Source organism: Homo sapiens, chromosome 17 (genome assembly GCF_000001405.40).
Source record: "Homo sapiens chromosome 17, GRCh38.p14 Primary Assembly".
NCBI classification, from domain to species: Eukaryota; Metazoa; Chordata; class Mammalia; order Primates; family Hominidae; genus Homo; species Homo sapiens.
Genome location: NC_000017.11, coordinates 687,437 through 712,405, shown reverse-complemented (window position 1 = coordinate 712,405; position 24,969 = coordinate 687,437). Strand labels below are relative to the sequence as shown.

Genomic DNA, 24,969 nt, shown 5'->3' with positions numbered 1-24,969 from the left:
AGTTCAAGACCAGCCTGGCCAACATGGTGAAACCCCGTCTCTCCTAAAAATACAAAAATTTAGCTGGGCATGGTGGCAGGTGCCCGTAATCTCAGCTACTCGGGAGGTTGAGGCAAAGAACTGCTTGAACCCGGGAGGCAGAGGTTGCAGTGAGCTGAGATGGTGCCACTGCCTTCCAGCCTGAGCGACAGAGTGAGACTCCATCTCGAAAAAAAAAAAAAAAAAAAAGGCGAAAGTCACTCTAGACATGAAAATCACTCTGCCCTGAAGTTCTTTAAATTGCCCATGAAGGCCGGGTGTGGAGGCTCACGCCTGTAATCCCAGCACTTTGGGAGGCCGAGGCGGGTGGATCACAAGTTCAGGAGATTGAGACCATCCTGGCCAACACGGTGAAACCCCTTCTCTACTAAAAACACAAAAAATAAGCCGGGTATGGTGGCGAGCGCCTGTAGTCCCACCTTCTCAAGAGGCTGAGACAGGAGAATGGCATGAACCTGGGAGGTGGAGCTTGTAGTGAACCAAGATCGCGCTACTGCACTCCAGCCTGGGTGACAGCGCGAGACTCCGTGTCAAAAAAAAAAAAAAAAATTGCCCATGAAGTACCACGTATGCATCTCTGATAAGTCTAGGGCTGTTAGTTTTTTTCCTCCATCATTGGAACCAGTCATTCTTTTTTCAGCTGGCTTTTGTTAGGAGCCTTGTTACATGAAAACAATTTAAAACCTAGGACAGCACTAAAACCTAGGAGTCGTGAGAGGAATACAGAAACTGAGAGCAACTTGAGGAAATAGTTTGTATCTCTTGTATCCTGCTCTCTGTGGGTTATACTTTCCCTCTGGTGAGCACGTATCATTGAGACTGTGTAAATAACCTGTGTATATGTGCATTATGGAAACAGCAATGCTGAACATTTTAAAAAGAAAACATCTTCACTTTCTTCTCATCCACCTCCTCTTGATGTGGTAGAAGGCTTCAGCTTTTCTAACAGTTGTCTTGAAGATATTTTGATTTTTTGACTCTATATTTCTTTGGAAGGCTTCTTCAGAGATGAAGTTGCTTCCCACAGTTGTAACTCTATCAAGCTGGGTGAGACCCAGTGTCCAGTGGATAATTTGGCTGCTTGTATCATCCACCTTGTTGCGTGTTCTTCAGGTTGTTAGGGAGTTAGCTGTATGTCTTAGAGGTGGACTGTTTTTGAGAGAGGATCTCACTCTGTCGCCCAGGCTGGAGTTCAGTGATAGAATCTCGGCTCACTGCAACCTCAACCTCCTGGGCTCTGGTGATCCTCCCATCTCAGCCTCCCACGTAGCTGGGACTATGACAGGCATGTGCCATGGCACCCAGCTAATTTTTTTTTGTAGAGATGTGGTTTCACCATGTTGCCCAGGCCAGTCTCCAACTCCTGAGCTCAAGCGATCCGCGCAGCCTTATTTTAATTAATTAATTAATTAATTTAATTTTGAGACAGAGTCTTGCTCTTTCGCCCAGACTGGAGTGTAGTGGTGTGATCTCGGCTCACTGTAACCTCCGCCTCCCGGGTTCAAGCAATTCTCCTGCCTCAGCCTCCTGAGTAGTTGGGATTACAGGTGTGCGCCAACACCACACCCAGCCAAGTTTTTATTTTTAGTAGAGACCTGACCTCAGGTGATCCATCTGCTTTGGCCTCCCAAAGTGCTGTGATTACAGGCATGAGCCACCGTGCCCGGCCCTTTCCTTTTAATTGACAAATTAAAATTATATATATTTACGGTATACTACATGTTTTTATATATACTCCTCTCTTTCTATATAGGTGTTTCCAAGCCAGGACCCTCTAGATCGAGCAGATTTCAATGCTGTTGAGTATATCAATACCCTGTTCCCAACCGAGCAAGTAAGTAGAGTTTCAGGTTTCCTTCCTTTCAGCAGCTTTTGGCACATCTTGGGTGTTATGCTTCGTGTGTTACACTAGATCATCTACGGGCCCTTGATACACAAGGGAGAGTTAAATTCAAATCAAACTCCATCATCACCAGCTGGGGCAGTGAGCTACACTGTGTTGGAATGGAATTCATTGTATAGTGAACATATTATTAATAATTGTACTCTTAGGTTGTGAGAGTCCTCCCAAATTTTCTGCTGTAAATTGAAAGTGGAAAGGATTTTTATAATGTAGTAGGGACAAGTGGGGGTGAGGCAGGCAGGATAAGCCCAGAATCATAAAGCCACTTTCACCTCTATTTCAAGATGTAAATTTTTATTTCTATTTATTAGTTTTTTTGAGACGGAGTTTTGCTGTTGTCGTTCAGGCTGGAGTGCAATGGCGCGGTCTCGGCTCACTGCAACGTCTGCCTCCTGGGTTCAGGCGATTCTTCTGCCTCAGCCTCCTGAGTAGCTGGCACTATAGGTACCCACCATCACGCCTGGCTAATTTTTGTGATTTTAGTAGAGACGGGGTTTCAGCATGTTGGCCAGGCTGGTCTCAAACTCCTGACCTCGTGATCCACCTGCCTTGGCCCCCTAAAGTGCTGGGATTACAGGCGTGAGCCACTGCGCCCGGCCTCAAGATACAGATTTTTAGACTTCACGTTTTATTATTTTTTGTCCGGTGATTTTCCTGTGGAGATGGATTTTCTTACAAAATTGGTTTTTGGGTGTTTGGGTGAGAAGTAGACCAGAACTGGAAGTAGCAGAGTTGGGAGAAGGGCAGTGAGAGTCCCGCTTCGTTTCCATTTTTTCAGTCAGCAGTTGTTCAGTAGGTGCCTGTCATGTGTTGTCAGTCACTGTGCTAGGTGCTGAGGGTGCAGAGATGATAAGGTCCAGTCCATGCCCTTGAGGTGTGCAGGATCAAGTGGTGGGAGACCCTGGCGAATGCCGTCAGTGACAGTGGGACAGTGCGGTAAGGAAACAAAGACCAGTTCTTCCAAGGAAAATCACAACTTCAGAGAGGAGGTAGCCTGTCTGCCGAGCTTGAGGGATTCATTCATGTATTCATTTAGTAAAACGTAGCAGTCGTTTATTAAATGTCTGCTAAGTGTCAGGTATTATTTTTAGAAACTAGGGAGAAATGTAAACATGACAAATCTGGTCTTGGTCTTATGGAGTCTAGTGTAGGGAGAAAGACAAGAAATAAACCAACAAATACACTAGAGATGATCAAACATGGTGGCCGTGATACCAGGCAGGTTCCGTGACAGAGCGTGCTGCGCCGTGATACCAGGCAGGTTCCGTGACAGAGCGTGATGCGCCGTGATACCAGGCAGGTTCCGTGACAGAGCGTGCTGCGGAGGGTCCTTTAAATAAAGGGGCTTAACGGGAAGTTCTCTGTGAGGTGGTTCCCTCTAAGCTGAGACCTGATGGACAGGAAGGAGTCAAGCTTGCAGCAGTCTGGCAGAACAGTATTCTAGACAGAGCCAGCAGCTAGGTATCTCTTCCAGGATGATGAGGGAAGGAAGGCGTGGGCGGAAAGAAACCCAGGTGCCGAGGCAAGAGACTGAAGGCACAACCTGTTCCAATATAATAAAGAAAATAGTTAAATAAGTAGAGTTATAATAGAAATAGGATATAGAGATGATTGTATATGGATATTATCAATCATTAGTCTTTAGTATTAATCTTTGTTTCATTATTACGACCAAGGAAAAACCAGGCCATACAGAGTCAGGAGACCAGAAGACAACAGTGAGAACCTCTGTCATGCCTGGATAAGGGCTGCTTGAAGGCACCTTGGTCTTGCGGTAGTGCCAGTGCCTGGGAAGGCACCCGTTACTTAGCGGACTGTGAAAGGGAGTCTCCCTTTCCCTGGGGGAGTTAGAGAACACTCTGCTCCACCAGCTCTCGTGGGGGGCCTGACATTCCCCAGGCCTGCCCACAGTCATCCGGAGGCTTCAGCATCTCCCTGTGGTGCTGTGCTTCAGTGGTCATGCTCCTGGTCCACTTTCATGTTCCACCTGTACACCTGGCTCCTCCTTTAAGTTCTTAGAAGATAGCAGTAGCAGAATTAGTGAAAGTGTTAAAGTCTTTGATCTTTCTGATAAGTGCAAAGAAAAAATGCTGACGTCTGCTGTCCTCCCTCTCTGCTTCGGCTACCACAAAGGGAAGGGCCCCCTGTCACGTGGACATGTGACTTGCTTGACCTTGTCAATCATTTGAGATGACCCACACTCCTTACCCTGCCTCCTTGCCTTGTATACAATAAATAGCAGTGGGTCCAGGCATTCGGGGCCACTATTGGACTCTGTGCATTGGTGGTAGTGGTGCCCCGGGCCCAGCTGTCTTTCCTACTACTTCTTAGTTTCGTGTCTTTCTACAATCTCTCGTCTCCGCACACGAAGAGAAAACCCACAAGGCCCCGTAGGGCTGGACCCTACAGAAGGCCCTTCTAAACACAGGACCAAGGCACAGAAACAGGAGACATAAGATGTGCACAGTGAGCAGAGACTCACAGGAGATGAGGCTGAGGAGGGAGAGCAAGGATCCTGGAGGATCTCTGTCCTCTAGGCTTATCGTTGCCAGTTTTTTTGGAGACCACATGCCTTTCAGTGAAATGCTTTTTTTCTTTCTTCCTTTTTTTTTTTTTTTTGAAAGAGAGTTTTACTCTGTTGCCCAGGTTGGAGTGCAGTGGCACAATCACAGTAACTGTGAACTCCCGAACTCTAGCGCTCCCACTACATCGGCCTTCTGAGTAGCTGCGACTACAGGCGCATGCCACCACACACAGCTAAGTTTTAAAATTTTTTTAGTAGAGACGAGATCTCACTACGAAGCCCAGGCTGGTCTCGAACTCCTGAGCTAATGTGATCCTCCCGCCTCAGCCTCCCAAAATGTTGGGATTACAGGCATGAGCCACTGCACCTGGCCCAAATATTTTTCACAGAACTGATTTTCTTTTTTTTTTTTTTTTTTTGAGACAAAGTCTCATTCTTGTCCCCCAGGCTGGAGTGCAATGGCATGATCTCGGCTCACTGCAACCTCTGCCTCCTGGGTTCAAGTGATTCTCCTGTGTCAGCCTCCTGAGCAGCTGGGATTACAGGGGCCTGCCACTACGCGGCTAATTTTTGTATTTTTAGTAGAGATGGGGTTTCACCATGTTGGCCAGGCTGGTCTCAAATTCCTGACCTCAGGTGATCCGCCCGCCTCGGCCTCCCAAAGTGCTGGGATGACAGGCGTGAGCCACCGCGCCCGACCCACAGAGCTGATTTTCACTTGGATAATTTTTAAGCCTGTATCCCCAGAATATTATATACATATGTGAGTACCAATTTTAAATGTTAGGCTTCAGTAGTATTTGCTATATAAATAGAAAATAAACATAGAGGCTTCAGTGTTTGCTCCTCACACCCCAGGGGGCAGTGTGGCAGACCCCGTGGGGACGTTCGCACCCTGCTCTGGAGGTTGCTGCTGTAGGCAGTGAGTATTCATTGAAGGACTTTTGGCAGGATAATGACTGGAGCACATTCACGTTTTTAAAATTCCGTCTGGCAGCCATGTGGAGGACGAGCAAGGGATGGAGGTGGGGAGAGACTACAGGCAGGAGACTCACGCAGTAGATCACTGGAAAGAGATGGTGAGACCTGGAGAAAAGCTGTGGGATAGAGAGAACCAGATCTGAGAGCTATTGAGGGGACCAAAGTCATGCAGTTTGGTACCTGAGGGCATGAAAGTAGAGGGTCATGGAGAATCCAAAATTCACTCATTCGTTTATTCAGTTAAAAAAACACCCACTCTACCTAGCTTTATAAGAAATCTGGGGTAGAGAAGTGAGCAAGACAGATATAGTCTACCAACACAGACTTCATAGTCTATCTTGATAGTTAATCTCACAGTAACAGATTATAGGTAAATTATGATGTTACAATGACTTGCTTGTGTAATTTTTTTTTTTTTTTTTTGAGACTGAGTCTCACTCTGTTGCCAGGATGGAATGCAGTAGCACAATCCCGGCTCACTGCAACCTCCAACTCCTGGGTTCAAGCGATTCTCCCGCCTCAGCCTCCTGAGTAGCTGAGTTTACAGACACGCGCCACCAAGCCTGGCTAATTTTTGTATTTTTAGTAGAGACGGGGTTTCACCATGTTGGCCAGGATGGTTTCAATCTCTTGACCTTGTGATCTGCCCACCTTGACCTCCCAAAGTGCTGGGATTACAGGCGTGAGCCACCACGCCTGGCCTGACTTGCTCATATAATTTTTAAATATTATTTGTCACTTGCTCTTATATAACCTTTACTACAACTGTAATAGTAATCTTTATTAGATACTTCCTGTGTACCCGACAGCACTCTAGGCACTAAACAGTGATAAACTCCACTTTGTTATCCTTCTTATTTTAGAGTAAGAATCACGAGGCACGGAAAGATAACACTCGGCTTAAATGTGATAGCGTTGCCATGAAGGAAGCATGCCAAATACAGTGACAGCAGAACCCAGGGCCTTACTTGCTCAAGATGGATTGAAAAGGCTTACTCCCTTGAGGAAATGGTGTTTTAGCTGAATACTACAGGCCAAGTTAATAATTTTTTTTTGAGATGGGGTCTCACTCTCTTGCCCGGGCTAGAGTGCAGTGGCACAATCATAGCTCACTGCAACCTCAAATTCCTGGACTCAAGCACTCCTCCCACTTCAGCCTCCTCAGTAGCTAGCACTACAGGTGTGTGCCACCACACCCAGCTGAGTATTATTATTATTTTGAGATGGAGTCTTGCTTTGTCACCAGGTTGGGGTGGGGTGGTGCCATCTCGGCTCACTGCAACCTCCCACTCCCTGGTTCAAGCAATTCCCCTGTCTTAGCCTCCCGAGTAGCTGAGATTATAGGCACGCGCCACCACGCCCAGCCAATTTCTGTATTTTTAGTAGAGATGGGGTTTCACCATGTTGGCCAGGATAGGATGGTCTCGATCTCCTGACCTCATGATCCATCTGCCCCAGCCTCCCAAAGTGCTGGGATTACAGGAGTGAGCCACCGCGCCCAGCCCCAGCTGATTTTTAATTTTTTTTTTTTTTTTACAGACTGGGCCTTGCTGTGTTGCCCAGGCTGGTCTGGAACTCCTGGCCTCAAGCCACCCTCCTGCCTCAGCCTCTCCGAGTGCTGGGATTACAGATTTGAGCCACTGTGCCTGGCCCTAAGTTAAGAATTTTGAACTGGTTTCTAGGTAGCCAGATTTGGCTGACTGGATGGGTAATGGCAGCTTTCCACTTTACCCAATTACTGAGTGTAAGGAGAAAGAGCAGGTTTCAGTGGCAGGTAGGGCTGGAGTGGGCTGTAAGGTGAGCCCAAGTTTGAACATACTCAGGTCATCCAGGTGGAAATAAGTTGTTGGGTATTTGAGTGCAGAGCTCTTGATCCCCATCATTGTGAATATTTTGGCAGATCCTTCCAAACTTTTTTTAATGGATATACTGATTTTTAAAATAAAGTTTAAAAGATGATATACTGTGTGATTGTCTTTTTTGAGATTTCACGAAAAGCCTTTATAGCTCATCATTTTGTATGAAAGGGGAATTTTAGGAATTAGCTGGAGATAGACATTTGGGAATAGCTAGGATAAAGATAGTAATTGCTGATTCACCAAAACAAAAAGAAGTGTTAGATTTGAAAATTTTGTAGGAAACCACCAGGTTCTCACCTCTTGTGGTGTGTGTGTATGTGCTGTATTTTTTTTTAAACTACTGAAAACTCAAGATCTTTGTTGTTCCACAGATTCAGTTCTGTGTCTTGTCTAATTATGCCCCAGGTATATGATAATGTACAGTCACGTTTCTTAGAGTAACTCAGAACATTTATGACACAGGGTTATCTTTACTTCTCTAGTCTCAGAGTTTCACTTAGCAGGTCATCTGAGTGAAATCTAAGCCAGATTCCTGTGGATCTTAATGAAAAGGTAGTAGAAAGTAGTGGCATAGCTTGAAATTTAACTATTGTCAGATATTGGGCAAAAACCATCTGTATACCTCATGGACCTCCAGTAAACACTTGTACATTATGAGTTTAGATTGTTTAAAGTAGATTTCAGTATTTCCAGAGTGAATTTAGTGTTACTGTGAGGAGGAGGGTGAGAATATGTTTCTGTTGAGTGGAAGTACTTGTGTGTCTGCGGTTGTCTGGAGCCTGTTGAGTGGCCTGGAATGGATGCCTCTTACTATTTCACCCAGCCAGGCCTGAGAGGAGCTTGGGATTTTCCATGCAGCAGAGTGCCTGTGGGGTTTAAATAGTAGCCAGGTTTGGTCGCAGTGGTCTAGAAAATCGTTTTAGCCTCCTAATAGTAAACTGAAGATAATCATTTGAAAGTTTGATTAGAGGAAACTAAATGAAATTTATGGAAAACTAATACAAAACTAACATAATTAGGAACTTTGAGAAAAGAGTTATATGGGGATGTTTCTAAAGAGTTTCTGGTGACCCCAAAAATGCTCTGGATCTGTATTGTTAAGAGAAAAAAAAACCCAAGATCCAGCTCATGGCTGTATTCTCTAATCCCAGCACTTTGGGAGACCAAGGCGGGTGGATCACTGAGGCAGGAGGATCGCTTGAGCCTGGGAGGTGGAAGTTGCAGTCAGCTGAGATCGTGCCACTGCACTGCAGCCTGGGTGACAGAATGAGATCCTGCCTTAAAAAAAAAAAAAAAAGATGCCAAATTGCTTATCATCCCAGTTTATTTTTGTACAGCTATACAGTTTCGTAGTAGAAGGCAATACGCAAAAATTCTGATTGTGGTCATACTGTCCTGGGTGTGCAGATGACTACCTATTTTCTGTAATTGTCAAGAATTACCATTAGAATCAGGAAATATTTTGCAATAACTAAAACATTTAAAAAGTAAACAAAACTGTACAACCACATTATAACTAAACGAGATGAGTGATTCTCAAAGCAGGATAAACCCCTCTGCCCAGCCAATGTGGATTCCCACAGGGCTTTTCCCCAACTCCAGGAGAGGCCCTCGACCCTGGTGAGGATCACTGCCATAGCCAGACACTGAACTAACTGATGAGAGTGGGTGTGTCATAGCTGTCCGGTGTCTTGGGGTGCAGGAAAATTAGGTCAAGAATCATTGCGTTAGAGGTAGATGCTAGAGTAAGAAAGAGGATCTCTGCAGCTTCAGGCAAAGCACCTGTCCTGCAGAGCACGTTTCCCATCTGTTTTTTATTTGAGGTGGGATCTCTGCAGCTTCAGGCAAAGCACCTGTCCTGCAGAGCACGTTTCCCATCTGTTTTTTATTTGAGGTGGGTTCCCACTCTGTCACCTAGGTTGGAATGCAGTGGTGTGATCTCGGCTCGCTGCAACCTCTGCCTCCCAGGCTCAAGCGATCCTCCCACCTCAGCCTCCTGAGTAGCTGGGACCACAGGTGTGCACCAGCAAGCCCAGGTAGTTTTTTGTATTTTTGGTAGAGACAGGGTTTTGCCAGGTTGCCCAGAGACTGGTCTTGAACTGCTGAGCTTAGGAAACCCACGTACCTTGGCCTCCCAAAGTGTTGGGATTACAGGCATGAGCCACCATGCCCGGCCTCCGCCTCCATAGTTCCCAATCTTAACGTTGAAGAGGAGAAAAGTGTGCCTCGCCTGGCAGAGGGGATTAAGGGAAATAATTTCTGTGAAGTGCCTGCAATTGTTGCCTAGGAGATCCACATTAAATGCTAGCAGCCTTTCCCTTTCCCCTCCAGCAGAAAGCCTGGAAATGAAGGGAAAACAGTCACCCAAAGGCCACCTGACTATCAAATAGTGTAACTTTAGGATATTTCTTTCTCTTCTATTTATTTATTTATTGAGACAGAGTCTCCTTCTGTTATCCAGGCTGGAGTGCAGTGGCGCGATCTCGGCTCACCGCAACCTCTGCTTCCTGGGTTCAAGCAGTTCTCCTGCCTCAGCCTCCCGAGTAGCTGGGATTACAGGCACCTGCCACCACGCCCGGCTAATTTTTTTTTGTATTTTTAGTAGAGACGGGGTTTCACCATATTGGCCTGGCTGGTCTCGAACTCCTGACCTTGTGATCCGCCCACCTCGGCCTCAAAGTGCTGGGATTACAGGCATGAGCCACCGCGCCCAGCCTATTTTTATTTTATTTTTATTTATTTTTTCTTTTTGAGATTGTCACCCATCACCCAGGCTACAGTTCAGTGGCTCCATCACAGCTCACTGTGCCCTGGAATTTACAGACTCAATCAGTCTTCTTTCCTCAGCCTAATAAGCAGATTGTACTACAGGCGTGTGCTACCATACCCGGCTAATTTTTCTATTTTTTTGTAGAGACGGAGTTTCACCACGTTGTCCAGGTTGGTCTCTAACTCTTGGGCTCTAGCAGTCCACCCACCTCAGCCTCCCAAAGGACAGACATAAGCCTCCACACCCGGCCTCTGTTCTTTTTAAAAGCTACATTCATTATATTATAAAAATGATATTATAGGGCCGGGTGCACTGCCTCATGCCTGTAATCCCAGTGCTTTGGGAGGCCAAGGCGGGAGCATTGCTTGAAGCCAGGAATTCAAGATCAGCTTGGACAGCATAGCAAGACCCTGTGTTTATAACAAAATAATAAAATTAGCCAGGCTCAGTGCATGTACCTTTTTGTTCCTAGCCACTCAGGAGGCTGGGGTGGGAGGATTGCTTGAGCCCAGGAGTTTGAGGTTACAGTGAGCTATGATTGCACCACTGCACTCCAGCCTTGGTGACAGAGTGAGCCGCCATCTTAAAGGTAGGCTATTTGATATTATAAAAATACTTGCTATCATAAAATGATATTAGAAATGTTTTCCTCTTGGCCAGGCGCGGTGGCTCATACCTGTAATCCTAGCACTTTGGGAGGCCAAGGCGGGCAGATCACGAGGTCAAGAGATCGAGACCATCCTGGCCAACGTGGTGAAACCCCGTCTCTACTAAAAATACAAAAATTAGCTGGGCGTGGTGGCATGTGCCTGTAATCCCAGCTACTCGGGAGGCTGAGGCAGGAGAATCGCTTGAACCAGGGAGTCGGAGGTTGCAGTGAGCCGAGATCGCGCCATTGCACTCCAGCCTGGTGACAGAGCTAGTCTCCATCACACACAAAAATATATGTATATATATAATTATATATAAATTAAAGTAATTTTTCTGAGATTCGTTTTTCTTTTTTTTTGAGACAGGGCTGTTTAGCCCAGGCTGGAGTGCAGTGGTGCAAACATGACTTACTGCAGCCTCGACCTTCTGGGCTCAGGTGATCCTCCCACCTCAGCCTCCTGAGTACCTGGGACTGCAAGCACATGCCACCATGCCTGGCTAACTTTTTTTTATTTTTTGGAGAGATGGGATCTCACTGTATTGTCTGGGCTGGTCTTGAATTCCTGGATTTAAGTGATCCTCCCACCTTAGCCTCCCAAAGTGCTGGGATTACAGGCATGAGCCATCACGTCCAGCCTGAGATTCATTTTTACCTCAAGCTGTTCTTGGATTTCTGAAAATTCTGAGTAACTGTTGGCTTGGTCAGAACAGTAGGATGAGCTGTGACAACCCAGTCTGACATCTCAAACACTCATGGCCTGTTTCTCTTACCAGACCTGCTCCTGGAAGGCACCTGGCCTCCTCCTCCCATCAGAGGTAGCCAGAAGCAATTTATAAGCATATTTCCTACAATATCCCTAATTCCTTCTGAGATAAAATATTTGTTAAGGGAGAGAGGAAGAGGATTTATTAAATTGTATTTTGAAAACTTGAATTAAAATAGTACTATAAAATTGTACCTCCTCTTGTCCATTAGGGGGCACCATTTCCTCACATTTTCTCATCTCTAAGGTCAGAAGTGATCCCTTTGTTTTAATTGTTGTTATAATAAGCTTATTATAATCACAGTAGTAGTGCATAGTCAATAATTATAAAATACAGACAAAAAGAAGAAAATATTTTTTTTTGAGACAGAGTTTTGCTCTTGTTGCCCAGGCTGGAGTGCAATGGCACATTCTCAGCTCACTGCAACCTCTGCCTCCCGGGTTCAAGCGATTCTCCTGCCGCAGCCTCTTGAGTAGTTGGGACAACAGGTGCCCACCACCAAGCCTGCCTAATTTTTTTTTTTTTGTATTTTTAGTAGAGATGGGGTTTCGCCATGACGGTCTGGCTGGTCTCAAACTCCTGACCTCAGGTGATCCGCCTGCCTTGGCCTCCCAAAGTGCTGGGATTACAGGCGTGAGCCACTGCACCCGGCCCAAGAAGAAAAATTTGAAATCACTTCTTTTCATATTGCAATACGTAGTTGATAGATTATAGCTACTAATGCTGCAACTACTAATACATTACAATTACTCCTATCTATCCTTCCAGACTTTTTTCTAGTGGATCTATATAATAAAAAATAAATTTGTGTATTTATTGAAGTATAACATAATACAGAGGAGTACACAAATCTTAAGGGTACAACTTGATGAAGTTTCACAAAATGAACATAGCCATGTAACTGCCACCCAGATCAAGAAATAAAACATTTAAAAAAATCTTCAGAAGGCCTTTCCTTGCCTGTTCACTGTCACTACCTTCCCCCAGAGATAACCACTGTCCTAGCTTCTAACAGGAGAATTATGTTAGTGAAATCATATCCTCTGTCCCCTTGTGTCTGGCTTTTTCTGTGCCCCATTCCGTTAGTAAAATGTTTATCCATGGTGTTGTGCATTCATTCATTTTTGTTGCTGTATTTCGTTACGTGAATTTGTCACAATCACGTACACCATGGGTCAGCAGACTCTCCTGTAAAGGTCCAGATAGTAAATACTTCAGGCTTTGTGGCTGTACAGCGTCTTTCACGACTGCCTACCTGCCATGTTAGCTTAAGAGCAGCCGCAGGCAATATGTAAGTGAACGGGCATGGCTGTGTTCCAGTGAAACTTTATTTACAAAAAACAGGGGCTGGGCTAGATGTGGCTGTAGCTTCCAACTACTGCTTTACTTTTTTTTTTTTTAAAGCAAAACTCATATCATGTGATTAAATTTTTTGAGATTTCATAAGTAGCTATTATAGCACATCATTTTCCTGTGAAAGAGGAATTCCAGGAAGTGGACTAACAGCTGGGCACTCTTCCTTCTTTATTGTAGTCTCTGGCGAACATAGACGAAGTCGTGAACAAAATTAGGCTGAAAATAAGGTGAGTAAAGCTGTGTGATTGTTCATAATTAATGAAAAGTATATTGTTAATTTAGTTAATCACATTCTGGATCACATTTTTCTGTGAGAGCACTGAAATCTCAAGTTTGCCATAGATGGTAATATAATTCCTTTTAAAATTTTTATTATTTATTTATTTATTTTTGAGACGGATTTTTGCTCATTGCCTAGGCTGGAGTGCAATGGTGTGATCTTGGCTCACTGCAACCTCCACCTCCCAGGTTCAAGTGATTCTCCTGCCTTAGCCTCCCTAGTAGCTGGGATTACAGGTGTGAGCCACCACGCCTGGCAAATTTTGTACTTTTAGTAGAGACGGGGTTTCACCATGTTGGTCAGGCTGGTCTCGAACTCCTGACCTCAAGTGATCCACCTGCCTTCGCCTCCCAACGTGCTGGGATGACAGGGGTGAGCCACCGCACCCGGCCATATAATTATTTTATCCATATGAACTTTGTGGCAAGGAACTCAATGCTTTGGCCAGTCTTCAATTCTTCATACAAAAGGAAGGAAGCTGTGATAGAGTCTACTCAAAACATCTTTTGTAATTATAGAAGGAGGCAAAAGCTTTTCTGATAGATTTTTTTTTTCTTTTTTTCTGTTTTTTTTTCAAAACAAGGTCTTACTCTGTGTCCCAGGCTGGAGCGTACTGGTGCAGTTACAGCTCACTGCAGCCTCGAACTCCTGGGCTCAAGTGATCCTCCCACCTCAGCCTCCTGAGTAGCTGGGACTACAGGCGCACCACCACACTTTGCTAATGTTTATATTTTTTGTAGAGATGGGGTTTCGCCTTGTTGGCTAGGCTGGTCTCAAACTGCTGAGCTCAAGCAATCTGCCTGCCTCAGTCTCCCACATCTACTAGATTTTTTTTTTTTTTTTTTGAGATGGAGTCTGGCTCTGTCACCCAGGCTAGAGTGCAGTGGTGTGATCTTGGCTTACTGTAATCTCCACCTCCCAGGTTCGAGCAATTCTTGAGCCTCAGCCACCCAAGTAGCTGGAATTATAGGCATGCACCACCATGCCCAGCTAATTTTTGTGTTTTTAGTAGTTACAGGGTTACACTGTGTTGGCCAGGCTGGTCTTGAACTCCTAGCCTCAAGTGATCTGCCTGCCTTGGCCTCCCAAAGTGCTAGGATTATAGGTGTGAGCCATTCTGTCTGTCCTTCGACTAGCTTTTTAATGGCTTTATTTCCCTGTTTTTGTGGATTTACCTGTTTTTGTGTTCCCAAGGCTTAGACATGAAGATGGGCTTATATGTGTATCCCTTGGTCACATAACAGCTAACCATGTCAGATCTGCTGGTGGGTTGGGTGGTGGCCCATGATTAAACATTGTGAACCGTGGGGGCAGAGGAGCTGGAAGCCGTAGATCTGCCTCAGGCATGGATTGCATGATCAGGGCCCGGAAGCACTGATTCCATCTATCACTCTGGCTCTTTCCGCCTCATAAGGGGACCGAGAAAGGGATTGTGTGTGAGGTAATTTGAGTTATCTGGCATGTTCACGTAAAGGCTCCGGAACTTTGTCATTCCTGATGTACTCCATGAAAAATCCTGCAGATTTTATTAGTCCTTTCAGATAGCTCTGACTATTAAGTGAAAATAGGCATTTTTAACAACAAGGCGATGCATCAGCCTGCACTGGGCTTGACTTCCCGCACGGCTGTCGCTGCCCTCCTCCTGCCTGATGCCACTCACACATGTTTGGTTTTCTGGACAATTAGGTGCAGTCTGCAGAAGTTGATGAATAAATTACTTTTTACTTTTTTTCTTTTGGTCAACCTAGAATAAAGATTATTTGAATGACTGTATCCTTGAACTGTTTTGCTAGGAGACTGGATGACAATATTCGAACTGTTGTAAGAGGTCAGACGAACGTGGGGCAGGATGGACGGCAAGTAAGTAACTCATTCCTCCATATTACCTATGCTCCCCTGGTTTCTCCCGGCAACCAGATGACCAAAACGTCGATGTGCCCTCTTGCAGAGCACTTTCCGATTGATCCGTTTCATACATGGCAGGACAAGACAGGGCAGGCGCCCACAGCAGCCACGTGCTGTCCCTCAGTGTCCCTTGGACCAGGACCGTGAACTGTGGCACCGCTCACCCGAGGCCAGATGAGAACACTGGGGCTTCCTTGTCTTTCTCCTTCGTGTCGGGCATCTCTTGTGCCCTCTTTTATTTTGTGGGCTGTGGCTAAATGAGGTTGCTGCATTCGTCAGCTGAGTTGTTGGGGTTTTGATATTTTGTGGCTGTAAAAGATAGTAACCTGACATAGTTACCATTTCCTCGTACCTCGCTTTGCCAGCAGGCAGGTGACTCAAGATTCATTAAAAAATTTTACAAGTTGGCCGGGCACAGCGGGCACAGCGGCTCACGCCTGTAATCCCAGCTACTCAGGAGGCTGAGGCATGAGAGTCACTTGAACCCAGGAGCCAGAGGTTGCAGTGAGGCGAGATTGCACCGCTGCACTCCAGCATGGACGACAGGGGTGAGACTGTCTCAAAAAAAAAAAAAAAAAAAAGTTTTATAAGTCTTATTGGATCTAGTTAAGGAGGCCATTGGAGGGAATGAAGTAAGTCTTACTGGATCTAGTTAAGGAGGCTGTTGGAGGCAATGAAGGGAAAAGTGTGTAGGGAGGAGATACTCTTTAATAATTGAGGGGCCAGATGTTATCTGTGAACCATTTCCCTTTTTATTTGATTCTGTTCTTCTGTTGAGGCATCGTATTTCAGAATGGCTGTTGTAGTAGAAATGCTGAGCTTGCCTTTCTAGCCGTCCTCTCTTGCCATGTCCTGTCCTCCCTTATCAGCACTAACTCAGGTCAGGACTGCTTCTTTGCAATTGCTTCAATGCTGTGATTTCTCCTCTTTGACATTTTTTAGGACAGCTAATTTCTAAAAATGTTCATCCTGCTGCCCAGATTTGGAGTGGGAGGAGCATATAATCCTACGCTGAAATTTCCAGATCTCTGATATTTCTGTTTCCTTCTGCCAGTTGCTTACAGATATTAGGAGTCTCTTTCTTTTACATCTGTAGTTTTCCCATCTGTCTATTTTTACTACTTTATATCACTTTCTTTTTCCATTTTTCCACTTTATAGTCACTTTCCATTTGATAGCCAGTTTCCTTTGGCCTGTTTGTGAGTAGCTGGCCTTCTTGTCATCATCAGAATTTGTGTGTAGACACATTAGGTTCCTAAAACTGTTCTGGTTTTCTGGACTCCTGTATTTTTTTTAGCCCTCGTTACCTCGTTTTGTCTGTTGAGGTATATTTCATGAAGCATGGCTTCTTTGGCAGATGAGGCCCATGTAAATGGGACCTTCAGAGGGGTCCTACAGAGGGACAGGGCAGCCTCAAGCACTCCAGCTGCATTCTGCTGCTTAGCTGTCCTAATCTGTGTTTGATCGTATTGTCTACCTCTTCAGACACCGTATCAGCTCTGGCCACTAAATGAAATCCAAGGCCAGGCATGGTGGCCCACACCTGCAATCCCAACACTTTGGGAGGCCGAGGCGGGGAGATCACTTGAGCCTAGGAGTTCAAGGCCAGCCTGGGCAACATGACAAAACCCTGCATCTTCAAAAAGTACAAAATTAGCTGGGCATGGTGGTGGCCTGTGCCTGTAGTCCCAGCTACTGAGGAGGCCGAGACAGGAAGATCAGCTGAGCCAGGAAGTTCGAGGCTGCAGTAAGCCATCATCGCGCCACTGCACTCCAGCCTGGGAAACAGAGTGAGACCCTGTTTAAAAAAAAAAAGAAATCCAAATTCCTTTGCTTGGCATTCAAAATTCTGGTCTCCAATTCCAGTTTTGCCTCCTCTTGTGTTCTGTCTACACTGAAGACTTTGTGCTCTACGAGCATGCCTGTGCTTTCTGGACCTGTGCTTACAGACTCTTTTGTGCTTGAAATGCTTTTCCTCCTATTTCTTTAAGCCGCCGCATTTCCCAATCTTACCCATCCAAGGACCAGCTCAGATACTAGTTTCTTGACGATGTTTTCCATGGACCTTATCTGAATACACCAAGGAATCAGAATTTTGAACTGGAAAGGATTTGAAACTCATCTGGGCCCCTCCCCTCATTTTACAGAGGAGAAAATGGATTCCAGTGTCCCTCGATGTCCTTTCTCCATAAATCCCACAGCCCCATTCTTGTACTTTTCATTTGGCTTTTGGGGTCTCCCTTGACTTACCAGAGAACAAGTCTCATCCCTTTGATGTTTGTAAGCTCCTGGAAGGTAAGAACTGTATCTTTGTCATCTTTCTATTTCACTACACATAGGCCACATGCAATAACATTTTATTCAACTGAGCCAGGCACAATGGCTCATGCCTGTAATCTCAACACTTTGGGATGCCTAGGTGGGAGGATGACTTGAGGCCAGGAGTTTGAGACCAGCCTCGGCAACATAGCAATACACGTCTCTACGAAAAGGTAAAATAATTAGCTGGGTGTGGTAGTACAAGCTTCAGTGAGCTGTAATGGTGCCGCCGCGCTCCAGCCCGGATGACAGAGCGAGACCCCATCCCCAAAAGCAACAGCAAAACCCCCACAACATTTTATGCAACTGTATTGAATATTTTGTCTGTCTAAGATTGTTTATTAATTATAAATAAACAAAAACATTTTATCATAAAAACATCATTTTGATCAGCAAGTGGGTGTTCCTTAAAAGTGATTTAGAACTTGCTTTGTGCATTAAGAGTCCCAACTTGCTGCTACTGGGAATAGTAACACTGCTTGTTCAGTGTGATTCAGCCTACATTTGGAATGGCTCACTAGAAGTCTTACAGTGCAGGAGTCATAGATGTTTAAAATTTCAAGAATGTGAAAATAGTGAGTGATTCATCGGCATTTTTTGTTGGGTCATGCTGTGCATAATAGATGTGTATCTTTCAGTTATTTACGTTTCAACCTGTGGTTCTGGACTCTTGCAAACTAGCGGTATTACAGAGTCAGACCCAGAATTCGACAGTCTGCAGGAATGTCGGCGTTCTCCCCCATCCCGTATTAATAGGTTACAGGTTGCCGCAGCAGAGCAGGTCGTATTTCACAGAGCAAGACCACATTTTCAAGAATGTTTAGATAGCATTTCAATCTGTGATGGAACTTTGTATTCGTCTCCTTAGAATCCAGACAGAAAGGAAGCCCAGAAGAAATAACTGCTTTTCCTGTCATGGCCCCATCTGTCTTTTCCAGCACTTTGTAATGCAAACTGAAGTACAAGCTTTTTTTTTTCCAAGGAGCTCTTGGGTCCTGTCCTTGTCAACTCCTAGGTATGAAAGCCTTGCTCTCCAGCCCTGGCTGGCTGGTTTGCTAAAAGGAGTCTATTTGACTGCAACAGACTTGGTGGAATTACGGATGTTCCAAAATACTGAGTTTTGTAGGTCAAGAGGCCCCACGTTCCCCTCTTCCCTGGAAGAGAAGAGAAGTTTGCTTTCAGCACTCGCTTCCTAAGCTTCTGAAGAACACTCAGAAGGGAGTGGCATATGGACAAAAGGAGGTTTTCGTTTTATAAATTTAATCTTGATTGTGTTTAACCAGAACCGATGTGCCGCTTTTAAATTTGTATTTATTATTATCATGTTAGGGACAGGGTCCTGCCTTGTTGCTCAGGCTGGAGTGCAATCATTTTTCACGGTAACCTTGAACTCCTGGGGCCAAGTGATCCTCCCACCTTAGCCTCCGAAGTAGCTAGGACTACAGGCATGTGCCACCACACACAGCTATTTTTAATTTTTAATTTTTTATTTTTGGTAGAGATGGGTTCTTGCTGTGTTGCCCGGGCTGGTCTTGAACTCCTGGCCTGAAGTGATCCTCCTGCCTTGGGCTCCCAAAATGCTGAGATTATAGGCATGAGACACTTATTATTACAAGTCGTCCCCACTTACCTGTGGGGGATACATTCCAAGACCCCCAGTGGATGCCTGAAACCCAGAGAGTAGCAAACCCTATATATGCCATATTTTTTCCTATGTATACATACCTGTGATAAATTTTAGCATGCAAATTAGGCACAGTAAGAGATTCACCACAATAACTGAAAATAAAATAGCACAATTATGACAGTATGCCAGCATCACTCCTCTTGTGATTTGGAGCTGTATGTAATAGCCGAGATGGCTGCTAGGCTATACCCAGCCTAGATGTGCTTCTTGCTTCTTTGTTTTTTGTTTTGTTTTTGAGTCAGAGTCTCGCTGTCAGCCAGGCTGCAGTGCAGTGGTGTGATCTCGGCTTACTGCAACTTCTGCCTCCTGGGTTCAAGCGACTCTCCTGCCTCAGCCTCCTGAGTAGCTGGGATTACAGGCATGCACCACCACGCCTGGCTAATTTTTGTATTTTTAGTAGAGACGGGATTTCACCATGTTGGTCAGGCTGGTCTCAAACTCCTGACTTCATGGTCCGCCCGCCTCGGCCTCCCAAAGTGCTGGGATTACAGGTGCGCACCACCATGCCCAGCTCATTTTTGTATTTTTAGTAGAGACAGGGTTTCACCATGTTGGTCAGGCTGGTCTCAAACTCCTGACCTTGTGGTCCGCCCGCCTCGGCCTCCCAAAGTGCTGGGATGACAGGCGTGAGCCACCGCACCCGGCTAGGTGTGCTTCTATATCTGTAAATAAGGGGAAAGTGTTGACTTCACATTCATGGTGTCTTAAATGACATTTTTAGCAGAAAAGTTGCTTTTGAAAAGCAATGTTTTTGACTCAAAAATTATTTGGGGGTAAGGAATGATTTAAATATTGAAGGCATAATTAGGTCATTTCTTGAGCTTCTTGAAGTTTCTGAAATACCAGCCGCTTGGTTAACATTCTGCTAAACGTTTGCAGAGTCTTTGTTTTTTGACCACCTTCTATGTGGGCCAGCTTGAACTGGTCTAGTCTGTGACCTCTTCTAACCAGACGATGATGCTCTTATAAAGTTTATATGGCACGGAATCCTCCCCATTTTTATCTGTTGAAATCATCAGTCAAAAGCTTTAATTAAATGCCCACGTTTAAAACTTTGTGGATGAGTCAATTCAACAAGTACATGATGTGGTATGCTATGAAATTTTTGCAGCTTCCCAAGAATTAAAATGGATGGCTTGAACGTAGGTGAAAGAGAGGTGAATAGAGGGGCGGGTTAGAGGAAGAAAAAGCCGGCAGTGGGAAGTTTCAAGAGTGGCCAACGTTGACCGGTCGTCAGTAAGCTCTCAGACTCACAGGAGAGGATCAGCCACCGAGTTTCTGTCTCTTCAATGGAGCCTGGCTGCAATGTAGCCATTTCTTTGATCAGAACAAGAGTAAGGTTTGGGAGGAGAAGAGAATTATTACAAGTCGTCCCCACTTACCTGTGGGGGATACATTCCAAGACCCCCAGTGGATGCCTGAAACCCAGAGAGTAGCAAACCCTATATATGCCGTATTTTTTCCTATGTATACATACCTGTGATAAACTTTAGCATGCAAATTAGGCACAGTAAGAGATTCACCACAATAACTAAAAATAAAATAGCACAATTATGACAGTATGCCAGCATCACTCCTCTTGTGATTTGGAGCTGTATGTAATAGCCGAGATGGCTGCTAAGTGACTAATAGGTGCTGTATTCAGCATGGATATACTGGGTGAAGGAATGATTCGTGACCTGGTCAGGACAGAATTGGGTGGTGCAAGATTTTATCACACTACTCAGAATGGCGCATAATTTAAAATTTACTAATTGTCTGTTTCTGGAATTTTCCATGTAATATTTTTGGACCACAGTCAACTACAGGTGGCTAAAACCTCAGAAAGTGAACTGCTGATAAGGAGGGGGTGCTGTATTGCTCACTCCTTCGCTTTGGAAGAAGGATTAGGTAATTGTAGTACAATCTTCCACCCAGTTCAGGAGTCCTTTGTATTACATCTCTGACGTTTCATTATCTTGCAGAAGCTTGGCTACTTTCAGTGATGGGGAGCTTGCTACTTTGTTGGTCCACAGGACAGACTAGTTCAGTTTTATAGCTTTAGTTGTGAGAAACTCCTTTCTTAGACTGAACTGAAACAGTGAAATAGACTTCATTGTAACTTCTTGTTGATCTTAGTTCTGCCAGCTGGATGGGTGTAAGCCTAATCCCTTTTCCTTACTACAGCTTCTGAAATTGAAAATGGATATTATGTTCCTAAGTGTTCCCTTTTCTAGGCTAACCATTCTTAGTTTCTTCATCTTTATAATGCAATTTCCAGACCCTTTATCATCCTTGCTCTTGATAGCTGTTTGTCAGCATCCCTCTTAAAATGTGGTTCCCAGGAGTGGACATGCTGTGTCAACATATACACTGAGACAGTTGACCTCTTTGTTCTGGGCCGAGCTCATTAACTTAGGGACTGGGGGTCCAGAGTGTCTGTCAAGTCCCTGAAATTAACTGTAAATTTTTGTATGTCTAGACATATTTATGGGAGGAAAACTTATTGATTTTTCTAGATTTTCTAAGGAGTCTGTGACTCTTCAAAACTTAAGGGCCACCGATTTTAGACACTGTTCTTCCATTACCTTGGATTTGCTGAGATTTTTGATTGTAGACATTGTTCTTCCATTACCTTGGATTTGCTGAGATTTTTTATTTTAGACACTATTCTTCCATTACCTTGGATTTGCTGAGATTTTTGGCAGCCGTATTACATGGTTGGCTTCTACTGAGTTGGCAGTCACCTGAAACCCCCAGGTCAAGAGTCGCAAACAGATGTCCGCAGAGCTGGGAAAGTAACCTAAGCGGCGTAAGCAGGCTGGTGTGTGTCCACATGCATCCACCAGGTCCTAAGGGGATAGTCACAAGTGAATTCTAATCAGCTGTTGTCACGTCTGAACGCAGACCTGGAATTGCCAGATCTATCAGTTTTTCAAGAGCAGCCGGAAATCCGGATTTTCATGTAACTCTCACAATTTTTAACTATTGGCTTAGTGTTTTTCACAAACACTGCAAAGGGCAAACAAAACACATCTGTGGGCCAGTACTGTCCCAGGTCTTTCTTCATATGACTTTCATTTAAACTTTCTCCACCTCTGTTTGTGCAAGAGAGTCTTTGAAATTGTCAGACCGTGTGTGTCTCAGCTTTCGTTTCATCCCACTAGTTCTGCTCGATTGTTTATCCCATCAAGATCTTTGGGAGCCTTGATGACCTCCCCACTTTATCATTAGCAGATTTGCCAGACATGCCTTCTGTGTCTTCATTCAAGTTGTAGATGAAAAGGCAGAATGGAGTGGATTCAGAGCCGTGTGACGTGCCGTCAGAGGCTTCCTGTTCTTCCTCCTCACTTCAGCGCAAAGTGCCAGACCCAAAAAACAGGATTTCTACCTGTCTGTGTGTGTCGTCCGGGGCTGTTTCTTCATCTTCCCATGTCTTGATTTTCACCAAAAAAGGAGGCTGTTAATACTTGCCTTCTTCACTTTTACATAGAGATATCATAAAGATTATGAACTAAAGCAGCAAAGTACATTGCCTTCCAAGGAGAAAGTGTTCCTTGCTTTTCTTCCTCAAAATTAGCATATTATGCAATTCAAGCATTAGAACGAAAATAGGCCGGGCTTGGTAGCTTACGCCTGTAATCCCAACACTTTGGGAGGCGGAGGTGGGCGGATCGCCTGAGATCAGGAGTTTAAGACCAGCCTGGCCAACATGGGGAAACCTGGGCTTTACTAAAAATACAAAAATTAGCCAGATGCAGTGGTGCGTGCCTGTAGTCCCAGCTACTCACGAGGCTGAGGCTGGAGAATCACTTGAACCTAGGAAGTGGAGGTTGCAGTGAGCTGAGATGGTGCCACTGCACTCCAGCCTTGGTGACAGAGTGAGACTCCATCTCAAAAAAAAAAAAAAAAAAAAAAAAAAATTAGTCCAGCATGGTGGCACAAACCTATAGTCTTGGCTACTCAGGAGTTTGAGGTAGGAGGATTGCGTGAGCCCAGGGGTTTGAGGTTACAGCAGTCTATGATGGCACCTCTACACTGCAGCCTGGGGACCCTGTCTCAAGTGAAAAGAACAAAAATAACTGCTCTCCAAGACTGACTTCCCAGCATGGCATTGATCTTCATTATGTGGGATTTTGAATTTGTCATTGTCAGCTCACTAGAAGGAGACTTTATATTCTTATCCTCCCTCACTTTAAATTGATCCTTTCTCTCATCCTCTCTTGGGAGGAAAATGAAGCCCATTGATTGATAAAAATTGAAGAAAGTAATTGGTATTAGTATTAAAGGGACCACAAATAGTTTGGAAAAAAATGGCAATTGCTACTTGCTTCTTCCTACTAAAACATACCACAGCTAAAGCGACTGAGCTTTTAGAGTATGGCCTCGAAGTTTCCCATTAGTGGCCAAGATTGGCTGGACATTTTTTGTTTCTTTTCTGTTATTATTTTTTGCGTTGTACTTTTCAGCATGTCTGCAAATAACACTAAACTTCAGGAATTGCTGAGGTTTGGACATGACCTGGGAGTGCCCTGAACACCGTGATCTGTGGGGCAGCCCTGGAGTCGGGTTGTTAGATCAGCCTTTTGTAGGGGCAGAGTTTTGATTCGGGCTCACAGTCATTTCCCAACCAGGATTTCTTACGTCTAGTGCAGAGGTCAAGGTTGGCTTGCCTTTGTCAAGTTGAATCCGGTGACTGTTCATTTTGCCTGCTTCTAGAGTGCTACTGGTTGTAGTTGAGGCGGGGCGGGCGACTGTTCATTTTGCCTGCTTCTAGAGTGCTACTGGTTGTAGTTGAGGCGGGGACTCATAAAATGTCCGTTAACTGTTTAACAATGTAGTGCAACTGGGTTTGGCCTCACTACCATTCTTCATCCTGTTTATTGCACACAAGCCTTGTGTATTAGTCCGTTCTCACACTGCTATGAAGAAATACCTTAGACGGGGTAATTTATAAAGGAAAGAGGTTTAATTGACTCACATTTCTGCAGGGCTGGGGATGCCTCAGGAAACTTACAATCATGGTGGAAAGGGAAGCAAACCCATCCTTCTTCACAAGGTGGCAGGAGAGAGGAAGAATGAGAGCTGAGCGAAGGGGGAAGCCTCTTACAAAACCATCAGATCTTGTGAGAACTTACTATCACGTGAATAGAATGGGAGAAACCACCCCGTGGTTCAGTGACTTCCCACCAGGTCCCTCCTATGACATGTAGGGATTTGGGTGGGGACACAGCCAAATCATATCACCTTGATAGCGCTTTTTTGGCAGGGAGACATGTCTGCGGCATATTTGGAACACTTTGCCACGTATCCTCTAAAATCCCTCATTTTTAGAAAAGCTATAAGGAATCCAAATAGCTATCTTCTCTCCTCTATGTACAGTGAAGGACTGGGCATTTTATTTCAATTCTCTAAGGATTGGTGTAGTTAGATATCTTCAGTGATGTAACATTGGATGGCATCTTGGTAAAGTGAAAAAAACTTGAGCTTTGAATTTAAATTTTGTCTCTGCTGTTATCTGTGTGACCTTGGACAAGATATTTAACTTTCCATCTGTGACATGGAGATAATAATACGTACCTCAGGGTTAGGGGGGATTAGAATTAATATACTTTATTTTATTTATCCACTTATTTATTTATTTGTTTTTGAGACAGGGTCTTACTTTGTTGCCCAGGCTAGAGTGGAGTGGTGCAATCACAGCTCGCTGCGCCCTCAACCTCGTGGGCTCAAGTGATCCTCTCACTTCAGCGTCCCGAGTAGCTGGGACCACAGGCACATGCCACCATGCGCATCTTTTTTTTTTTTTTTTTGAGACTGAGTCTTGCTCTCTCTCCAGGCTGGAGTGCATTGGTGCGATCTTGGCTCACTGCAGCTTCTGCCTCCTGGGTTCAAGCAATTCCCCTGCCTCAGCCTCCTGAGTAGCTGGGACTACAGGCATGTGCCACCAC

The 24,969-nt window shown here is 44.8% G+C and overlaps 1 protein-coding gene across 9 annotated transcripts in view, besides 1 other annotated feature; it reads left to right on the top strand.

Moving 5' to 3' along the window:
- The window catches only part of VPS53 (VPS53 subunit of GARP complex), a 206,172-nt gene that overhangs the window by 2,434 nt on the left and 178,769 nt on the right, over positions 1-24,969 (top strand). For 8 of the 9 annotated variants that reach the window (XM_047436345.1, XM_047436344.1, NM_001128159.3 and 5 more), the window contains exons 2-4: positions 1,793-1,873; positions 13,026-13,075; positions 14,922-14,988. In XM_047436345.1, the coding sequence (XP_047292301.1) occupies positions 1,793-1,873; positions 13,026-13,075; positions 14,922-14,988 (198 nt within the window). Of the gene's footprint in view, positions 1-1,792; positions 1,874-13,018; positions 13,076-14,921; positions 14,989-17,180; positions 17,329-24,969 lie in introns of those variants that run through there. The other variant, XM_047436346.1, reaches the window with a different exon arrangement.
- Positions 5,041-5,246: a silencer, noted in NCBI's record as "fragment chr17:610400-610605 (GRCh37/hg19 assembly coordinates)". NCBI's record gives its function as "represses an EF-1alpha promoter that drives an FKBP-Casp9 reporter gene in an ReSE screen in K562 erythroleukemia cells {active_cell/tissue: K562}" and the evidence as "EXISTENCE:reporter gene assay evidence [ECO:0000049][PMID:32094911]".